We start from the raw sequence: 19,891 nt of genomic DNA, 5'->3' as shown, positions 1-19,891 counted from the left end.
AGTGAGCTGAGATCGTGCCACTGCACTCCAGCCTGGGTGGCAGCGTGAAACTCCATCTCAAAAAAAAAAAAAAAAAAAAAAAAGAAGTACCCAACAGGGTGAGACGCAGCTGAGAAATGGAAACCATGGAATGGTTTTAACTTCACAGAAGTTGATGGGATGTTGGGGTGCGGGTGCACAAGCCAGACTGGACCCAGACTGAAGCTGATTGTGGGTGCTGGAAGGGGACACCAGGTGCTTCTTGGACAAGTTCAGACTGGACAATGTGAGAAGAATTTGGCAGAGACAATGACAGAGTCTCCATGGAGCCTCGCAGCAGTCCTGAGCTCCTGGAATCCACTGGGCTTGGTGGACCCCTTTGTCTCAGAGATATGTCTGGGTCAAAGTCATGGAGGGATCTGGTGGCAGAGTCAGGGGCTTCAGCTTCTCCCTGACAATGGCCTCTAGCTCCTCCTCCAGGGTGTTTAATTATGTGTTTATTCACTCAACAAACATTGAGTGCCTACTGCATGCTAGGTATTGGGTCTTTGGGGAAGGGGGAATTTCAGAGATGTGCAGGAGCCACTTCTAAATGGCCTCGAATGTCAGTGACCACACCCTGGAGTCCTCAGGAGGTGGATATGCAGAGGGCTGCCCTGCAGGGATGGCCTCTGTTAGTGAGATGGACCCAGCTTCCAATGGCCTGGGGTTCAGCCCAAAAGGTTCTGGAAAGCCCTCCGCACTCAGCATCCCCAGCCTTGACTTTTCCCAGGCTTCTCCATGCTGGGCTGCTCCTGCCTGGCCAGAAGATAGGGCCAAGAACATGACCATCCCAGTGCTCTGCAGGGCAGGTGTCCCTGGGCTCTGGGGTGCCCTGAATAGCAGTCTCCTCTCCTGGCCTGGGACTCAGGCTTTCCTTTCCTGATCATGCCACAGCAACAGTGACAACAGCAACAATTTGTTGAGCCTGTGCTATCCATCACTACCCCTCCTCGGGTACCCAGAGCAGCCAGGCCGAGCTCCACCACCCTCTGGACACTACTCTTTGAACAATGAACCCCACAGCCAGCTCATCCCCCTGGCGTGCCTGGTGATGATCTCACCCAGGTGGGACATGCCAGTGTCCCCTACCTCCCACTGCAGCTGTCCCTTGATATCCAAATGATTTAACAATAAGGCTTCGACTTTTGGAAGAGAGGCCCCCACCCCCATGATCCACGTAAACAATGGCACAGATTGGAACAGACAATGGCGAGTTGGGGAGGCATTACCCACAGTGAGCAGGGGAGAGGGGAAAGTGTCCCCCTCTGAGGTTAGGGTCTCTGATTTCACAGACTCACAGTCCTGACTTATCAAGGAGAAGGGACAGGGCAGTCCTGCATGTCTCCCCAAATTATAGCGAGTGGTGGTGGTTTGGGGGGGGCTCAGGGAACATCATGGAAGAAAGCAGGTGGCTGCTGTGGGAGAAGTGAAAGGGGCCCTGGGGCAAGGGTGGTGGCATGAGTCAAGCGGGTGGAGACTAGGGGAGAAGTCGAGGGGGCTGCAGTCTTGGACATCAGGGGTACCCCTGGCTGATTCCATCACTTGGACTCAGGGGCCTCAGGGAGCCATGAGAAGACTGCCGACGGGCAAGATCATCTACAGGCTTCCGCGAATGAGGAACTTCATGGTGGGGATGCTCGGGATGGGTTTCCTTAGGAGAGTAAACCCCGAGAAGTGTGTTCTGGGGAACACCAATCCCATGAAACATTCTTTGTGGTTAATGTTTGAGAGGAGCAGTGGGTTTTCTCTTACCTATGGGAGCCTCACAACACACATCACCATGTTATTATTATTTGTTTTCTGAGACAGAGTTTCGCTCTGTCGCCCAGGCTGGAGTGCAATGGTGTGATCTCGGCTCACTGCAACCTCCGCCTCCCGGATTCAAGCAATTCTCCTGCCTCAGCTTCCTGAGTAGCTGGGATTACAGGCGCCCACCACCATGCCCAGCTAATGTTTGTATTTTTAGTAGAGACGGGGTTTCACCATGTTGGCCAGGCTGGTCTCGAACTCCTGACCTGAGGTATTCCATCTGTCTCGGCTTCCCAAAGGGCTGGGATTACAGGCATGAGCCACCACGCCGGCCACACATCACCATATTAAAAGCTCAGGAAAGTCTTGCAGGAGCAAAACTTTCTTAACATGACTCCCCCAGCATTTTTCCCACTTACTTGGCCATGTAGTCTTTTATTTGTGTGTGGGTGTGTGTCATCCCATTAACATCCCTCAGAGGAACTCCGATCCACACTTCGGGAAGGGCTGATACAGAAGAATGGGCCAAAGTGCGATTTTCAGTTCTCAGGGAGCATCTTGCAGACGTCAGGGGTCTTCCGTGTTGCCCTCTCCCCACCCAGCATGCCACATTAGCCTCTGGTTGGACCCCTGCAGTTCTTTGGCCAAACACCTCAAGCCGTTCTCTGCAGCTCGACTCCAAGCTCTGCCCTTGCCTGGCCCCAAGTGGTGGAAGGATGTGGGGAGGAAACTTACAGGGGCAGGGACGTTTGAAGGACATGTAATCCTTGGAGCAGAACAGCGGAGCCAGCCTGCCCACGGGCACAGCTCTGACTTCTCGCAGGGAAGGCCCCTCCACTCACCTGCGGAGACACAAACAGGCAGGTGTTGGGGGGCCCATGGCGCACCCACAGCCCCTGCAGGCTGGGCGCTCACATCTCCTGAGCTGTCAACCTCTGCGGGAGAGGATGGTCACTTCTTTGAGAGCACGTGCCTAGTCTGGGCAAGGGGCTGGGGGACCTCTGGGCTGTAGAATGGGGAGAGGGACACAGGGGTAGGGCAAGTGTGTGTTGGGGTCCCAGTGGTGGGGGGTGGTGGGGAGGAGATATCTCTCTTGGGTGGATCTTTGGGAATTAGGATCCCAGAGTTCTTCTGTCTCATGATGAAAATGTGAGATCCCACTGCTTCGGACAACTTCAACAGACCATGGCATCATGAGCCACTTGGAACTATCAGGGCTGGGAACACTGAGACCTGGAGAGGTGAGGGGCTAGTTCAAGCTCTCACAGCTGGCTTTTGAAGGGTGTTCATTGACACCTAGCCCAAACCATATTATTATTATTATTATTATTACCCCAACATAAATAAGAGGAGGATGCTCTTTTCATCCCCATTTTATAAACAAGGAAGTTGAGGCTCAGTGGTTATGCAGCTTGCCCAAGGGCACACAGCTTCTAACTACTGGCTGAGACTTGAGTCCAGATCAGTTTGACTCCAGAGCCCACACTGTCAGCCAGCACAATTCTTTAGAAGGCATCTGTATATTAAATTACCGATTCAGAAACAAAGGCCTACAGAATGAAAATGCTTCTTTCCCTCTCTCCCCGCCCCCCAGTATGAACCTGATGAACAAGTGGATGTCTAGAGCAGTGAGGGAGGGCCAGGTCACTTTGACTCCAATTTGCAATGGAGAAAACATTTTAAAAAGGTAACTCATGGCTGGGTGCAATGGCTCACACCTGTAATCCCAGTATTTCGGGAGGCTGTGATGGGAGGATTGCTTGAGTCCAGGAGGTCAAGGCTGCAGTGGGCCATGTTCACACCACTGCACTCCAGCTTGGGTGACAGAGTGAGACCCTCTCTTTAAAAAAAAAAAAAGGGGCTGGATGCAGTGGCTCACACCTGTAATCCCAGCACTTTGGGAGGCCGAGGCGGGCAGATCATAAGGTCAGGAGATCGAGACCATCCTGGCTAACACGGTGAAACCCCGTCTCTACTAAAAAAAAAAAAAAAATACAAAAAATTAGCCGGGCATGGTGGCAGGCGCCTGTAGTCCCAGCTACTCAGGAGGCTGAGGCAGGAGAATGGCGTCAACCTGGGAGGCGGAGCTTGCAGTGAGCCGAGATCATGCCACTGCACTCCAGCCTGGGTGACAGAGCGAGACTCTGTCTCAAAAAAAAAAAAAAAAAAAGAAAAGAAAAAAAGTAGCCCATTCTCCCATGTTGCTGAAGATCTGAATTGGTTCATGTCTCCCAAGGGACATGAGGCTGTAGGAACAGGAGAGAGATAAGGTTTTTATTTCTAGGGAGTGTGGTCACTTGCCTTGCAGAAGCGAAACTGCACCTGTGGGCATTGGTGAGCAGAGATCATGAGTGCCAAGCCCTGTGGGCTTTTGCAGGGCATAGCTGGCAGCCCTAAAGCCAATGGGAAAAGAGTTTGCCCCTGCAGGGGTCATGAGGGGGTATATATCCCTCATCCCTAAAGCAAATTGAGGCTTGCCATCCCTGCTTGGGAGGGGCTAAGAAGAATATGAGGACACCAAGGCTCAGAGAGGCAAAACACTGCCAAGAATTGGCAGAGCTGGTATTAGCACTGAAGGATTAGACTTTTGAGCACAGACTCTCCAAAGACAGTTCTCTGATTCACGTTAAATAGAAAAACCAGTTATTTTGGCCAGGCGTGGTGGCTCATGCTTGTAATCCCAGCACTTTGGGAGGCCGAGGCAGGCGGATCATGAGGTCAGGAGATCGAGACCATCCTGGCTAACACAGTGAAACCCCATCTCTACTAAAAATACAAAAAATTATCCAGGTGTGGTGGCATGTGCCTGTGATCCCAGCTACTCGGGAGGCTGAGGCAGGAGAATCGCTTGAACCTGGGAGGTGGAGGTTGCAGTGAGCCGAGATCATGCCACTGCACTCCAGCCTGGGTGACAGAGTGAGACTTTATCTCAAAAAACAAAAACAAACCAGTTATTTCTCAGTGCACTTTGGCTGCATTTCCCTACAAGGAAGCCTTCTGGGCACTGGGGCCTCCAGCTGTGGCTCACATTCACCAAATACCTGCATGTGCCTAATGTCACCAATGGTATTGCAACAGACTTTTGAGGTGGGGGACATCATTTCCATTGTGCAGATGAGAGAACAGGCTCAGGGAAATAACCCATCCAAGGTCACAGAGAAGAGATGGAGGAAGAGCTGTGTGCAGAGGGACTCTCTCACCCCCAGTGCCTCTCAGTTACTGCCAGGGACACCCCCAGAGACCGGCTGCCCTGATGCTCTGGCTGGCCTGCTTCCTAGACACCCTGGGCTGATCATCCTTCTGGGCTGTTCCCTCTCCCTAGCATGCCATTCCTTCCACTTGGCAAACTCCTATGTAGCTGTCAATACCCAGATCAAGACACCTCTTCAGTGAGGTCCTCCTTGACTGGTGGAGACAGAATGATCACTCTGGCTGTGTTTCTGTCACACCTGGGTGCCCTTCCAGGACAACTCCGGATCTAAATTATTCTAGACCAGTAGCTCCTCGAGGGCATGGAGGGTCAGTGTGGCCTCTGCAAACTAGCTCAGGGTTGGGAACGGAGGGGAAGTTCAAAAGTGCATGGAAACACTAGAGCAAGCCAACCTCAGCCTGATGCAAGCGCACGACTGAGGGGTGGAGGCTGCCTTTCAAAGGTGCTTGGCTTGCTGAAGAGGAGGATCTCTATGCAAAAAGCTGAGATGCTTCCCAGGCATCTTGTCACCATTGGTGACCACGATGCCAACAGTAACCCGGGCTGCCACTCCCTGCCTCCTGCAATGCCATCAGCACTTTAAACACAGCCTCCCGCTGCAACCTCCTAGCACCCCAGGCTTGCATCCATTGATTCATTTCCCAAGCACCTACGCGGTGTCCCACAAAACCCTTGGAAAACACATGGAGGGACTTTGGGGGGTCCTAAAATAGGAGCTGGACTTTCAGCCTGGCTGCCTGTTTCCTTCTCCCTTCCCCCACTCCAGGATTTCTGCCGGAGGACCCAGAAGAAAACCACTCCCTGGTGGCATCAGACCCTCTGCTAGGGTAGAGCTTTGTCGGGGTCATCAAGACAAAGGAGCTGGGTGTGGGGGCTCCAGGTAAGCAAGTGCCCATCCTGGTGTCCCGCACGCATGTGACTGAAGTTGCTGAGAGGAGACAGCCATGAGGGGCACAGATGGGCTGGGACTGTGGTTCCTTTGCCAGGGGTCGGGGTCGGGGTTGGGGTCGGGGTCGGGGGCAGGCCCACCCCAGCTGCTAGGCCAAGCGTGGTCACCTCTTCCCCTGCCCGCCTCTCTTTGAGCCCAGCATGCGAGGCTCGCTCCTGCCAGTGACTCATCTCCTACTGGATTGTCTGGCTGGGAACTCGAGGGCGGGCTGGTGGCACTCCAGGCTTTGAAGTGGCTGAATGGTGTGTGGCAAGTCCACGTCATTCCCACTCCCCTTCATGTCCCCGCTCCGGGAATATCTCCACTCTGGGCTCTGCTGTGACACTCAGAGTTGGGCAGGGGAGCATGTGGCTAAGGGGAGAGAGCCTGGGTCTGCTGACGCGCCAGTGTCTGGGGATCCTCATGGCAGAGGCTTACAGAGCTGGAAGGCCCCAGGAGCGGCCAGCCTCACACCATGGGCGGCAGACAGAGATAGGCTGTGGGGGTGGGCTGGCCTTGTGAAAGAGGCCACAGGATGGCCACCTGTTTACACAGCCTCTGCTCAGTTGCTGCCACATGCTGTCAGCTTACTGGATCCTCAAAACAAATCCCCAATTCACAGATGACAACACTGTGACTCAGAAGAATAAGGGGCCCGATGAGGTGGTGAGCCCCTGCCCCAAGAGGGTTCCTAGGAGGATTTGAAGCAGGATTGCTCAGCTATTCTCTCTTTAGGAAGGTGGAGGGGGCGCCAGGTGAGGGAAACAGGAGGCAGGGAGCTTGGGAGGCCGTGGCCAGAGGTGATGGGGCCTAAACAAAGGCAACGGTGACTGCAGAGGAGGGGCAGAGGCTGCCATCACTGGTTCAAGTGTTTATTGAAAGTCTCGGCTGAGTGCAGTGGCTCACGCCTGTAATCCCAGCACTTTGAGAGGCCAAAGAGGGCGGATTACTTGGAGTTAGGAGTTAGGAGACCAGCCTGGCCAACATGGTGAAATCCTATCTCTACTAAAAATACAAAAAAATTAGCTGAGTGTGGTGGTGTGCGCCTGTAGTCCCAGCTACTCAGGAAGCTGAGGCAGGAGAATCACTTGAACCCGGGAGGTGGGGGTTGCAGTGAGCCAAGATTGCACTACTGCACTCCAGCCTGGGCAACAGAGGGAGACTCCATCTCAAAAATAATAAAAATAATAAAAATAAATAAATAAATAAAATAAAGTCCCTGATGCAGCAGGTTTTAGGTGCTGGGGACAGACTGGTGAGCCACACTTTGACAGTCCCTTTCTGACTAGGACTGGAGATGCAATGGTAATGGTGAAGTCTGCAAGCTAACAGTACAGGAAAAACAGAAGCAGTGTGTGCAGGTGGGAATTGCACTGTTAGATGGTTAGATACAGCGGCTGCAGAAAGCCTTGGTGAGAGGGTGCAGGTAAGCAGAGACTGGAGGAAGCAAGCTAGGTGGGCAGATACCTGGGGAGAGAGGATTCTGGGTACAGGTAGCAGAGAGGGCAAAAGACCCTGGGCGGGAACACCCTTGGTGGGTTTTAGGGACAGATGGATCTGATAGAGAGGGTGAGGAAGAAGGAGGAGTGTAAGGTGATTCCCTGTCTGCCTGGGTGACCGGCAGATGGTGGAGATGGGAGAGATGGTGACTCCAGGTCTTGATAGCTCAGACAATCACTGTGTCCCTGGCACTCAGCATGGTGCCTGGCACATAGGAAGTGCCCCGTGACTGCTGAGTGAAGGCATGATGCCATGTCACAGGGGTTTCATGGATCTGCGGGTGTGCATGTGATTGTCTAGAGCCAGAAGGAAGTCAGAAATCCCAGGGACTTCGGTCAGTTGCACTGATCTTGAAAAGACTGCATCTGCCTCACCAAGGCAGGGGCTCACTTGTGAAGCTGCAGTTGGGGGTCCTCAGGCAGCAGGCAACACCTTTCTCCTGTCCCAGGAAGGTCTTCATGTGAGGTGAAACCCAGCTAGTAACTTCCCTAATAGAGAACATACCTTGGCCAGCGTGGATACCCTCATGTTTGTCATATGATTGAATAAAGGAATCTATGAATTTAGGAGTGGGGGAGAAAAGTAATGAGAAGCCAGTGGCAGAAAGCACTGAGGTGGGCAGAGGTGGGCAGAAGGCACTGAGGTTTGCAAACAGGTAACTTGGTCTTGATACTAGAAAAGGGATCCAGGTGTTTGGCAGCCTTCAAACTGAGGAGGCCTTCTTTGTTTGTTTGTTTTTTCAGAAAAAGTTTCAGTCTGTCACCCAGGCTGGAGTGCAGTGGTGCGATAACAATGAAACCTCGTCTCTACAAAACATACAAAAATTAGCTGGGCATGGTGGTGCGAGCCTGTGATCCCAGCTACTCGGGAGACTGAGGCAGGAGAATCGCTTAAACCCAGGAGGCGGAGGTTCCAGTGAGCCGAGATCGTGTCACTGCACTCCAGCCTGGGACAGAGTGAAGCTCTGTCTCAAACAAACAAACAACAAAAAAAATTAATAACATAAAGACTTTCAGTCCAGTCTAAAGATGACTTTCTGGGGAAAAAAAGAAAAAAAAAAGTAAAAAAGACTTTCAGTATAATGTTAAGGGGGGGAAAACCCTGTTATTTTTTAAAACACACACACACAATAGTTTGTAGAATTGTGCATATACCATATACCGTGATCCTTATTTTGTAAAAGAAAAAAAAAAACTAGGGAATATATTAATACATAGCAAAAGATTAGAAAGGACAGAACACAGACAGAAAGAACACGAATGTGTTCACAGTCATTGTGCTCTCTGGGCGATGGTGGGATTAAGGAGGATTTTTATGCGTTTTACATTTTTAATGATTTTACAATTGTATTTCTTACAATGAACATGTATGACTTTAATAACAATCCGAAAAATCATTAAAATGAAGACTCAAAAAAACATTTTGTGCTAACAAAATGAAAAGCAATTAAGTGAATAAGTCAGTGATCGTTAATTCATTAGAAGTTGTGGGGTTTTTGTTTGTTTGTTGTCAAGAGCCAGGGTTGCCTAGGCTGGTCTTGAACTCCTGGGCTCAAGAGATCCTGCCTCAGCCTCTGGAGCAGCTGACTACAGGCATGTGCCACCATGCCGGGGTGTTCTCAAGGAAAAATTTTAAGGCTAATCTAATTGCCTTTGAACATGTCATTTGTTATTGAAAAAAATTTTTTTAATTTACTTGTCATTGAACTCACTGATAAGCTTTATTATAATACTAGAAAAATAATATCCATTGTTTTTAACCTTTATCAAATTATCCTTGGCACTTGAGCAAGTCCTATTTGCCAAATATTTGAGGGAATGGTTTCTGCTATTAACTTAATGTTTTATTTTCAATCAACCTATACACTTGGCAAAAATAATAACAATAATAGACCATATGTTTGTAAAACACTTTATAATTTTGGAAGGCACAATAAGTGCTGGGTACTAGTCTAGGCTCTGAGGATATAGTGAACAAAACAGTCAAAAGTCCTTGTTCTTGCAGTGCTCACATTATATTGACGTGGGCATACAATAGACAAATGAATAAGATATATAGATGTTGGAGGTAATAAGTGCTCTAGAGAAAAATGGAGAGAAGAAGGATAGGTAATGAACAGGGAACTGCTCTTTTAAATCAGTTTGATTACTGTTCAAACAGGAAAACAAAATACGAAGGTGTCTAAAAATTCTATAGCCTGTGGACAATTAACATATTCTTTTTCAGTTCTCAGACATAAAATGATTGAAGATGTACATGAAAGAATCATTCTAATAACTGATTACATATCATCTAAATTACAATGTGGTAATTATCAGTTTTACAAACTCATACAATTAGGATGAGTCATAGTGATGTTTTAACTATTCTATACCTGGCAGAATTAGATAGTCCTTAAACGTTTCAAGCCTCAGTGTTCTCATCAATAAAATGGGAACAAGTATAGTTCCTAAATCAGAGAGCTGGTTATCAGAATTCAAAGAGAAAATGCATACGTTTAGGAAACAGCGTGTGTGCAATGCATGTTCACAATGTTGACACTGCAGGCCACTGGCAGAGGTCCACTGGACATGGCTATGTGCTATCTGTATATGATTTCTTCATCCTCACACTATTCTGGGAGGTGTGTAACATTTATTCCCATTTTCAAGAGGGAACTGAGGCTTTGAAAAATAAGTCACCTTCCCAGAACCACATGCTATAAACCCAGGCGGTCCAGCTCCAAAAAACTGCTCTCAGCCGTGACTCTTGTTTGTGCCTGCTTGCTAATGGACTGCAGAAGCCCTCCTGGCCTCAGTTTCTCCCTTTAGGAGGCTGACAGCAGATGCCCCTCACCCTATCCTCTGAGTACTTCCAGGGCAAGAGTTTCAGACAATGGTCCTCTGAGGGTGTCCGGCTGATTATTCCTAAAGCCTGACAGTAATGCCTGCATCCCCGTCACATTCCCCACTGGCTGTGTTCCAAATCCTGAGCGAAGCAGGAGACTCAAGCCTAATTAGTTCCTGATTAACTCCTTTGGGAAGATGAGGAGTGAGGATTTTGGAAGACACAGCGACGTGACCCCTAGTGGGTGAATGGGGAAGGGGAGGGGGAAGCTACAGAGGAAGAAGAGGAGAGAGGGAGATTCCGTGTAGGAGGCCCCAGGTGGCAGCTCATCTTGCCTGTCTTACCAGGTGTACCCTGGCACCATGTGGACATGTTTCCTCATCTGAGATTCCTCCCCCATCCCTGTTCTGGGCAGCTGGGCCAGAACACCCACACAGCACAGGTGGCCAGGGACCAACATGGGTGTGAACTGGACCACTGCTTTCTTCCCATCACTCCTGCCCGCCCACCCGCTCCTTGCCACCTCCAGGATCCCAGCATCCTCCCCTATCCCCTGGGCCTATGCCCTGCTCTGCTCTGGGTCTAAGGTCCCAGCCACACAGACTGGAGCAAATCCCTTCCTGGGGACACCCTGCTCTGAAGTTTGAACCTCTCAATCACTGGCTCCATTTCCTCCCCGACATCCTTCATTTCTGGTGCCTCATGGCCCAGTTGCCTGGACGAATACATCATAGTCTGCGAAGAATCAAGGCTGGGACCCCTCAGACCTCTAGGCTGTCTCCCTGGTGCTTCTTGCTGCCTGTCTGAACCGTCACCATCGGTGTGTCCAAGCCACCTGACAGCCTGATGGCTCCTCAGGGAAAGCAATCCTCCACCCGGGAGTGGAGGGAGGTGTTAAATTCCCTTGTACGGAGCTCGAGCAATGGGTGGGTGCCCCTCTCTGGGGCAGCGGACATCAGCTAAGGGCAAGGAGGAAAAGGGTGCACCTTACAGTCAGATGCAGCCTTTTCACCCTGGAGAGAGATGGGAGGTAGCAGGGGAGAACTGGGCTGGGCGGTAGAGAGCCTTGGAGGAGGGAGCGTCTGAGAAAGGGTGGGCCCTAAGGAGAAAGTTTTGCTTTGCAATTAAATGTCAACAGCTTGGGGAATTCAAAGGCCTCCTTGGAGGGGGCTGGGAGCACCACTTCAGATTCAGAGGCACTGAATCTCAGCATCTACTGGTGCTGGACACCTCAGGACACCTGTAGCCCACCACAATTGGCCACTGGCTGCGTGCCAGGCACCAGGCTACATACCCTCACCAGCATCATCTCATTTAATCCTCCCAACTCACCTTCCCCATGTTCCAGATGGGGAAACTAAGGCTCAGAGAGGTTTGTGTCTTGCTTAAGGTTGTACAGCCAGGAAGTCAGCCAAGCCCACCTTCTGGTTCCAAATCCCTTAAACATCCCGCTCACAACAGACTCCTGCTTACTTTCAGATGAGGAAACTGAGGCACAGGGTGGTGAAGTCTCTCGTTCCAGCAGAGCAGTTATGTTTGAGGAGTGAGTCCAGAGCGGCATGCTCTCGGCAGGGGCTCATCGGAAATCGTGGCTCAAGAGCAAGGATCCCTGAACCCCTGCCTCTCACACCAGTTACTTGCGCCCTCCCTTTCCCAGCCTGCGCCCCGCCACCCACGCCGGCACCCGCCCGAGATGGACAGGGCAGTCCCTGGTCCTCACCGCTCTCCAGCCTCCAGACCGCAGAGCCCGATAGGGAAGGAGGAAGGGCAGCGAGAGTCAGCCGGGTGTGGGGTGGGCCCTGCCCCTGGGGAGCGGCGGCGGTGCCACTCAGCGCTGCGCAGCCAGCCTGAGCTGCCTGCCGCCTCGCCTCGTACTCAGCCTCGGGTCCCTCTGACAGCGCAAGGGAAAGTCTGTCCCAAAGTGGGAGAAGGTGCGGAGGGCGCGCTCTCTCTCCGACGCTCGGTGCTGAGACAGAGGCACGGAGACAGGGGCATACCCCAGGCGACCTGCTCGTCGAAGGGTCAAACTTCCTAGCTCAAAGGGGTGCGGGTGGGTTCAAACTCCAAACTCCGTGAAGCCCCAGCCCCTTTCCTCTCCCACCCCGACCGAGAGTGCGCCCTAGTTTTCCCTTCTTGGTTGGGTTGTTCAGGGGTCCCCGAAACCGAGGGCAAGCTGCTGGGGAGGCTGTCTTGGGTTCCCCAAATGCGGTTGATGCTCGTCGGGGACTCGAGTCAGGCAGAAAACCTGGATACCTCCCCTTCCCCGAGGCCCGAGGGCGCGATCAGGGTCAGCCTCGGCTCGCGCAGATCCCAGTGGCCAGCCCGGGGTCGAGGGTCCGCGGGAGACCCGGGATCCCGCTCCGTTCCGAGCGCGCTGCGGTTCCGTTCCGGACCGCGCATCCGCCCGCCCCGCGCACCGAGGCTCCGCGCGGCGCGCCCCCGGGTGTGTCGTTCGCCGGTACCACCGCAGAGCGCGGGGGAATGGGGCCGGGACCCCCCGCCCGCCCCTCCCCCGCGCCGCCCAGCCCCACGCCCCTTACTCGGCTTGGCTGCAGCGCTCCGCTCCGTGCGCCGCAGTGCCGGCTCCAGCTTCGGCTCCAGCTCCGGTTCCCGCCCCGGCTCCGGCTCCCAGTCCGGTTCCCGCTCGGAGGCCACTGCGCTCGGGCTCGGGCGTCGCGGGGGGCGCGCCGCTACGCTTCGGCCTGCTGGGCGCGCAGGGGCGGGGCGGGGCGGGCCAGGCGGGGCCAGGCGAGCCGGGCCGACCAGCCGCCCGCGATCCCGGGCCGAGGCAGCGGCGGCGGCGGCTTCCCAGGCCCCGGCCCTGGCCCTGGCCCTGCCCTGCCGCAGCCCCGCCCGGCCGCCCGTCGTCCCCGCGCCGCCGCCCACGCCACCGTCACCGGCCCCGGCCCCCCTCGGCGGCGGCGCGGCTCCCGGGCCTCAGCACCGCGGCGCCGCGGCCCGGGTCACTCCGAGATGCGGGGCGGGGGGCGCGGGTGCGGGGGAGGGCCGAGCCGCGCCCCTTTGCGCACAGCCAGCCCGACACCCACACAGCAGCAGGCGGGGCAGGGCGGCGAGGAGGCCGGGAAATGCGGGAGGCCGACGCTCCAGTCAGACGTGTGAAGAGGACACACAGGCGTGTGTAGGGAATGACACACGGACGCGAGCGGGGAGCCACTGACACGTGCAGAGAAGGGTAGACAAACGAGGTGTCAGGGAAGGACAGCCAGACAGGTTGGACCGAGGCTAGGCTGGGCATTTGAGCAGGGGACCCCTGTCGCGGGCAAAGAGCAAAGTGCGGGATGGAGAGGGGGACCCAGCGTGGCTGGGCCGCTGGCAGGGGCAGGCGAGCCTGGCAGGGCTTCCCGCTCGCGGTTGCTGGCAGGTGAGTTTTGGGATTCCAGCTAGGCCTGGCCCAAACCTTCCTTCGGAGCCACCAGCAGGCCTGTTTCCTTCACCCCGTCACCCTCCCTGTGCCCCCGTTCCCCGCTGCCCAAACGTCAGGGCATAGGGCTCAGCCCTGGCAGGTGGAAGCCGGCCCCGAGGGGATGCCTGGCTCAGGCCGGGGTTCCAGGCTTCCAGGACCTGCTCTGTCCCCACCCTGCTTTGGGGCCTTGGACGAATCCCAGCCCATCTCTCAGGCCTCCCTGTCCTCATTAGGATATTGCTCCCAATGATTGCACCCCTACTGTGTTGGGGTGCTCGCCAGCGTGGAGGAGTTATTTATTTAACCTCCGCCACTTGCCTGGGAGCGCCAGGAGGGCAGCGTCTGGGTAGGGCTGCAGGGGTCTGCACAGAGTGGGCACTCAGTGAATTTGCTGCAGGAATTGATGAAATGTGTTGTTGCTAACACTCTCTGAACCACTACTGTTGATGAGGAAACTGGGGCTTAGGAGGCAAGGGGAGTCAAAAGCTGGGTTCGTTTCAAAACCCAAAGGCTTGTCACTGGCGGGAAAGTGGTTCTCAAAAATAAAGCATGGTGACAAAGGGCTGAACATGTTGATGCTAAACCTTGGGGAAGCAGTGAAGCCATGGGGATGTTGTGGAAGGGAAAGTTGGCCAGGGACTGGCCTTGCAGGGAGGATGGGGCAGAGCAGGCTCCGGTGGAGAAAACAAACCCCAGCCCTGCCAGTCATCACGTCTTGGGCTTCCCTGGGGCCAGGCAGGGGAAGCTGCGTGGTCTAGGGCTTGGGTGCTTGAGGACATCTCCCAGCCTCCTCTGGTAACTGTTCATTCTGGGCTCTGCTCCCTGCACTATTTACCGCCCCCCCCCCGCCCCCACTCCCCGCCCTCCTGCAGGCTGGGGCTGTCACGGGGACATCAGCTCTGAGTAAGGGATGAGGCTAGAATAAAGGGAAACAATTCTCAGAGAACCGAGGAAGGGGACCTGAGAGACCCTTTGTCCAACCTCATGCATTTATTTTATGAATGAATAAATGAAGGATCAGAGAAAGGAGGGGATAGGCTAGGGTCAAAGAGGTAGGATTGGAGGCTCTACAACTCCCAAGCTAGGGCTGTGCCCACGGTATAACCTTGATCTCTCTGAGGACACCTGCTGACCCTTCCAGGATGGATATTCTAGTTGTTGAGTGGTTTTGCCTGTAAGCTGCCCCCTTTGGCAAGACTCTGTGTGTTTGTGTGTGTGTGTGTTGTGGTGGGGGTGGGGGGACCAGGGATAAGTGTGTGTGGCACACTTTGAGTGAGTCCTTGCGGAAGGTCCTAGCCCTAAAGAGTTAATTCCCGTCCACTCCCCTATTTGTGCATCACTGGCCTGGCAAATCTGGCTTGCTCCTCAGACTGGAACCAGGACTGTTTTCCAGTGGTGTTGGGTGTAGTTTCAGGGAGCTGGCTTATGACGGCGTGCCTACCAATCTCTGTGTGTCTATGTATCCATCCACAAATATATATTAGTGTAGGGCACTTGGAAAATACAAAAGGAAAAAGAAGAAAAGAAAATCCAGTCATTGTGAATATTGAGCTTTCCTGTTTTCCTTTCTTTTTACCTGTGTAACTCTACAAGAGTCCTTAAATGGAGTGAGCTTGCTGACTGATATCTCCTCTCCTATGTCACACTTTTAGTGGCTACCTAGCATAGGATCAGATGGTTGTATTGCACATATTTTTTTAACCAGTCCCCTATTTCTGAGCATTTAGTTTGTTTCCATTTTTCATACTTCTAAACAACACTGCAACGGACATCTTCATGGGGAGGCTTGTGCATGCCCATGACTATCCTTTATGTCTCTAGGTATGTCATAGTTTTGAGGCTTTCTTCGTGTAGGGTCAGATTTGCAGAAGGGGCATCTACTGGGTACCAGGGAGGCACAGTGGTGTTTAGTGTTTGCTTGGCCTAGGGATAGGTAGGGATGCTGGAGGGAAGAGTCTGAGGGAAATCAGGAAGTGAGATCTCAGGACAGTGAGATGCCCAAAGAGTCCCCAAGTGCTGGGCTTTGGGGCTTGCCCTAGAGTGTGCTTCATGTCACCCCAGCCGCTCACAGGGAATCCCAAAAAACGTCTTTTCTGTTTGCAAAGAACAGGATCCATGATGTCATTCATCCCAAACAGAGCCCATGGCATGGAGATGTTGGAAGGGTCTCTTGGGCCTGATCAGCTTGTACCTCCCTACCATCCTTCCTTCTTTGAAATGTCTTTGCTTTACCCCCTTACAAATTACCCAGTCTCATATATTCCTTTATAGCAATGTAAGAACGGCTTAACACAGCCAGGCTGCCCCTTCTGTCTTCCTTTAGGAGGGAAACCTCTCTTCTAGGACCCTGGACTAGGTCTCCAGGAGCTGAAGTATAAAAGACAGCCTCTCCTCTCCTATCTCCAGCGGCCTTTCTGGGGAAACTTATTTCTGGGGCTTCTTGAAGATCTGTATTCAAGGTAGAGTTTATTTCAGGGTAAGTGGCTGAGCGCTGAGCAGGGACTGGGTATAGAACTTTCTGCTCCTGCCCCCAGCCCAGTCCTGACATCTCCTTAGAGAGGCCTGACAATGTGTTAGTTATGCTACATGCAGCATTTAATTCCATCCTCCCAACATCCTGAGGAGGTGGGTAATATTTTCTTTATATTTCACATGCAGCAGTGAGGTTTATGGCACTCAAGTAACTTGCTCAAGGACACATAGCTAATTAGGAGCAGAACCCAGATTTCTACCTAAACCTGCCCCAAACAAGTTAGGCCAACCTGGTGCAGGCAGGTGGGTGGTGTTGCCAGTCACCAAGGAACAGAACACTAGAAGGGAATCAAATGTGAGAAAGGAGAATATGAGTTTGATTATACACATGTTCAATTTCAGGAGTCATCGGCAGGCAGCAGAACTCTGAGAGGAGTCCAGGTCACAAAGACAATCTAAGGACTGAACCCTAAGCCTAGGCAGAACTGATTGATCCATCCATCTACCCACCTACCCATCCACTCATCTATCCTCCTATGGGTCCACTTATCCTTTCTCCATCCTCCTATGATCTATCCGTTTATCCACCCATTCACCCATCTGTCCTCCCACTTATCCACCTAGGCCTCCTCCCATCTTTCAATCCTTCCTTCCTTCCTGCCTTCCTTCCTCCCTTCCTCTCATCTAACCACCTCCCCATCCTCCTACACATGCATTTATTCTTCCTCCCATTCACCCACTCCTCATCTATCCATTCAAACTCCCATCACCCATCCACTTACCCCATCTGCATCTATCCACCCATATGTCCCATGCATACTTACTGATGCTCACTACAGGCCAAGAACTCTGCTATGAACTGATGAAAAAAAAAAGGATGTGGAAAACAAGGTCCCTGCCCTCTAGGAGCTGGCAATGTGTTAAAAGAAGCAGATTATAAACAAATGATCCCAGAACAATATATTTTCTGTGCCAGATGTGTGCTCAAAGAAAAAACACTTAACTCAATCTGTGGAGGTCAGAAAAGGCCTCTTTGAGGGTGTGTTTCTTGAGTTGAGCTTAAAGTTCAATCAAGATTTCATCAGATGAATGGGATGCAGTGAGTGAGATGTTCCAGGAGAGGGAATAGCTTATGTGTACAATGATGGAATAGGTGTCAAGAGACCAAGGTGATTCCAGGGACACAGGTAACTCGGAACATTGGGAGCAAAGTTGAGTGTGAATGAATGGTGTGTTATGAGGAAAGACAGGAAAGGCAGGTCGTAAAGGCCTTGAATGATAGGGTGAAGGCCTTGGGAACCATATAAGGGCTTTAAGAGGGGTGGCTTGGTCAGGTTGTTATTTTAGAAAGATCTCTCTGCTGCATGGAGGATGAGTTGGGGTATGTGGGTGCAAGGGGGATCAAATGGTCCAGACTCTGCAGAGTGAGGACTTAGGATTCTCTGGGTCCAGCCTCTTGGGTCAGCCCAGGCCCCCACATTTGGCCTGGACCCAAAACCACTTCCTTTGCCAAGGCCGAAGTCAGGACAGCTGGGCTGAGACTGTGGGCATGAGGAAGTTTCCGGGGCTCTCCATTTTCAGTGACATGCAGTACTCCCAGCAAGGGCTTTAGTCTATGGTTGTCTCTCTTCTGATCTGGGATCTAAAGTCCATTGCCACAGACTTTAATCAATTTCTCACTGGATTCTCTGTCAAGGTCACCACAGAGTGTCTCAGTTCCATGCTCCGCTTTTCTGCCTCTACAATTTGCAGCCACCAAAACCCATTAATTTCCCATCAGTCATGCCATGATGTTTCTTCTAACCCTATGAAATCTCCACCCTGGTGGTTTGCAAGTGACACCTGATGGTGTATAGCCTAGGGGGAGCTGCTACAGTGAGTCAGACATGACCCCAGCCCTCAAAAAGCTAGCGGCGGGGTTGGGGTGGGGGTGCGGCAGGGAAAGACAGATGTCCTGTTGGCTTGGACAGATGTCCCAAGGAGCACTGGTGTGGGGAAGGGGAGGCTGCTCAGGCTGCAGAGAGTTGGGTGAGTTTGGGCTCAAGTCTTTGCTCTGCCACACCGAACGTGTGACCTTGGGCAAGTCACTTTACCTCTTCAGAGCCTCCATTTTTTTCATCTGTGGAATGGGAAAAATAATATTGACCTATCTTCGTTTAGATTTATTTATTTTTTAGAGACAGGGTCTTGCGATGTCTTGAACTCCTTGTCTGGTCTTGAACTCCTTGTCTCAAGCAATCCTCCTGCCTCAGCCTCCCAAGTTGCTGGGATTATAGGTGTGAGCCACTGTCCCTGGCTTAGATTTTTATTTTTTGGTAGTAACTAGTAGGAACCAACTTGGGCCATTTTAACAAAACCTGGAGAATTTACTAGAACTCACGTCTGGGCTCTCTGAGGCCTTGGAGTGAGAACCAGAGAAACAGACAGGAACCTAGGTAAGACTCTGCCTCTTGTCTCTGTGCCTCTCTGCTTAATCACTTAATTTTTTTCTCCCTGCAGACCTTCTTTTTCCATTATTTTGTAAAAAAAGCCCTCACTGCAGCTTGAGAATGAGTTTACAGCTCCTCAATTCTAGCCACAGGCAGGACTAACTGGCCATCTTTCAACCACACGTCCAAATTCCCAAGAAAGAATCTAATTGGTGGAACTGCACCCCTGGTCCAATCAACTGTGACCAAAGGGTGGGATCATGTAGCACAAATATGGCAGCTTGTTTTCATGTGCATTCATTATTCTCAGAGAAGGTAGAACTCATGAGCCTGGCAAAAACCCTGAAGATGTTCCCTATGTCCTCACAGGTCTGTTGGTAAGATTAAACAGGATAACGGATGTAAACATTTGGCACAGTGCCTTGTATATACTAAGGGCTCAATAAATGGTAGCTGCTGTTATTCATTCATTGCTCTATTTAATAAGCATTTATTGAATGCCTGGTTATACTGGATCCTACAGTAAGTCCTGAGGATGAGAAAGATGGGATGACACAGACAGAGCTTGAAAAATGGGAGTAATTCAAGTAAAGCTATTTCAGAGGGTTGTTGTCAGGATCGAATGTAACAATACATGCAAAGTGTTTAGTACAGTTCCTGACACACAATAACGTCTCAATAAATGTTGCCTACACATGTTGAATGTCTATTTGTACAAGAGCAAAGAAAAAACATTTCTTATGCCTTTTCTATTTGTTTGTTGCTCCCCTGGCCACAGGACTAAGACATCTTTGGTTACAAAAATAGATTTCAGTGTTCAGAATAATGTCAGCTGCCAGACTGACAGTTTTTGGATGTTGCATTTGAGTCTAATTTAAAAGTTTAGAAAAATAATGTTGGCATCTCCTGAACTCAAGCACTTACATGAATTATTAACAAGAGTTAATGCAGATAAAAATACCCACGTGCAACCTGTGATCATCTTTATTTTCCTGACCAAGAATGAATGAACCTGAACATCTACTGGAGAGTAAATTGTGGTACAGTCACAGGATGAGAACATTCCACAGCAATGAAAGTGAACACATTACAACTACAAGCAAACATATGAATAAGTTACAGGGTTGAGCTAAAGAAGCCAAATGCTGTATGATTCCATTTATATAAAGTTCCAAAGCAGGAAAAGCAGATCCATGGTATTGGAGCCCAAGCAGTATTTACCTTTGGGGCAAGGTAGTGACTAGAAGTGGGGGACTTGCTGGTAATGCTGTTTCTTGAGCTGGGTGCTGGGTACACAGGTGTATTTTATTTGTGAAAATTGACAGAACAGT

The 19,891-nt window shown here is 51.6% G+C and overlaps 1 protein-coding gene across 6 annotated transcripts in view, besides 1 other annotated feature; it reads right to left on the bottom strand.

The window, feature by feature from the left end:
• BEAN1 (brain expressed associated with NEDD4 1) overlaps positions 1-12,912 on the bottom strand; it is a 67,994-nt gene extending 55,082 nt beyond the window's left edge. For 2 of the 6 annotated variants that reach the window (XM_011522883.2, XM_011522894.2), the window contains exons 1-2: positions 11,709-11,949; positions 2,506-2,612 (exon numbers count right to left, since the gene is read on the bottom strand). In XM_011522883.2, the coding sequence (XP_011521185.1) occupies positions 2,506-2,530 (25 nt within the window). In that variant the 5' untranslated portion in view covers positions 2,531-2,612; positions 11,709-11,949. The other 4 variants (NM_001197224.4, NM_001136106.5, NM_001178020.3 and 1 more) reach the window with 3 other exon arrangements.
• Positions 11,484-12,084: an enhancer, noted in NCBI's record as "H3K27ac-H3K4me1 hESC enhancer chr16:66462026-66462626 (GRCh37/hg19 assembly coordinates)". NCBI's record gives its function as "activates a minimal SCP1, AML or CMV promoter by ChIP-STARR-seq in naive H9 embryonic stem cells {active_cell/tissue: H9 hESC(naive)}" and the evidence as "EXISTENCE:reporter gene assay evidence [ECO:0000049][PMID:30033119]".

The sequence above is a fragment of the Homo sapiens genome, chromosome 16, assembly GCF_000001405.40.
Source record: "Homo sapiens chromosome 16, GRCh38.p14 Primary Assembly".
Classification (NCBI taxonomy): domain Eukaryota; kingdom Metazoa; phylum Chordata; class Mammalia; order Primates; family Hominidae; genus Homo; species Homo sapiens.
The sequence above is the reverse complement of the archived record's forward strand: the minus strand, read 5'-3'. Positions and strand labels throughout refer to the sequence as shown.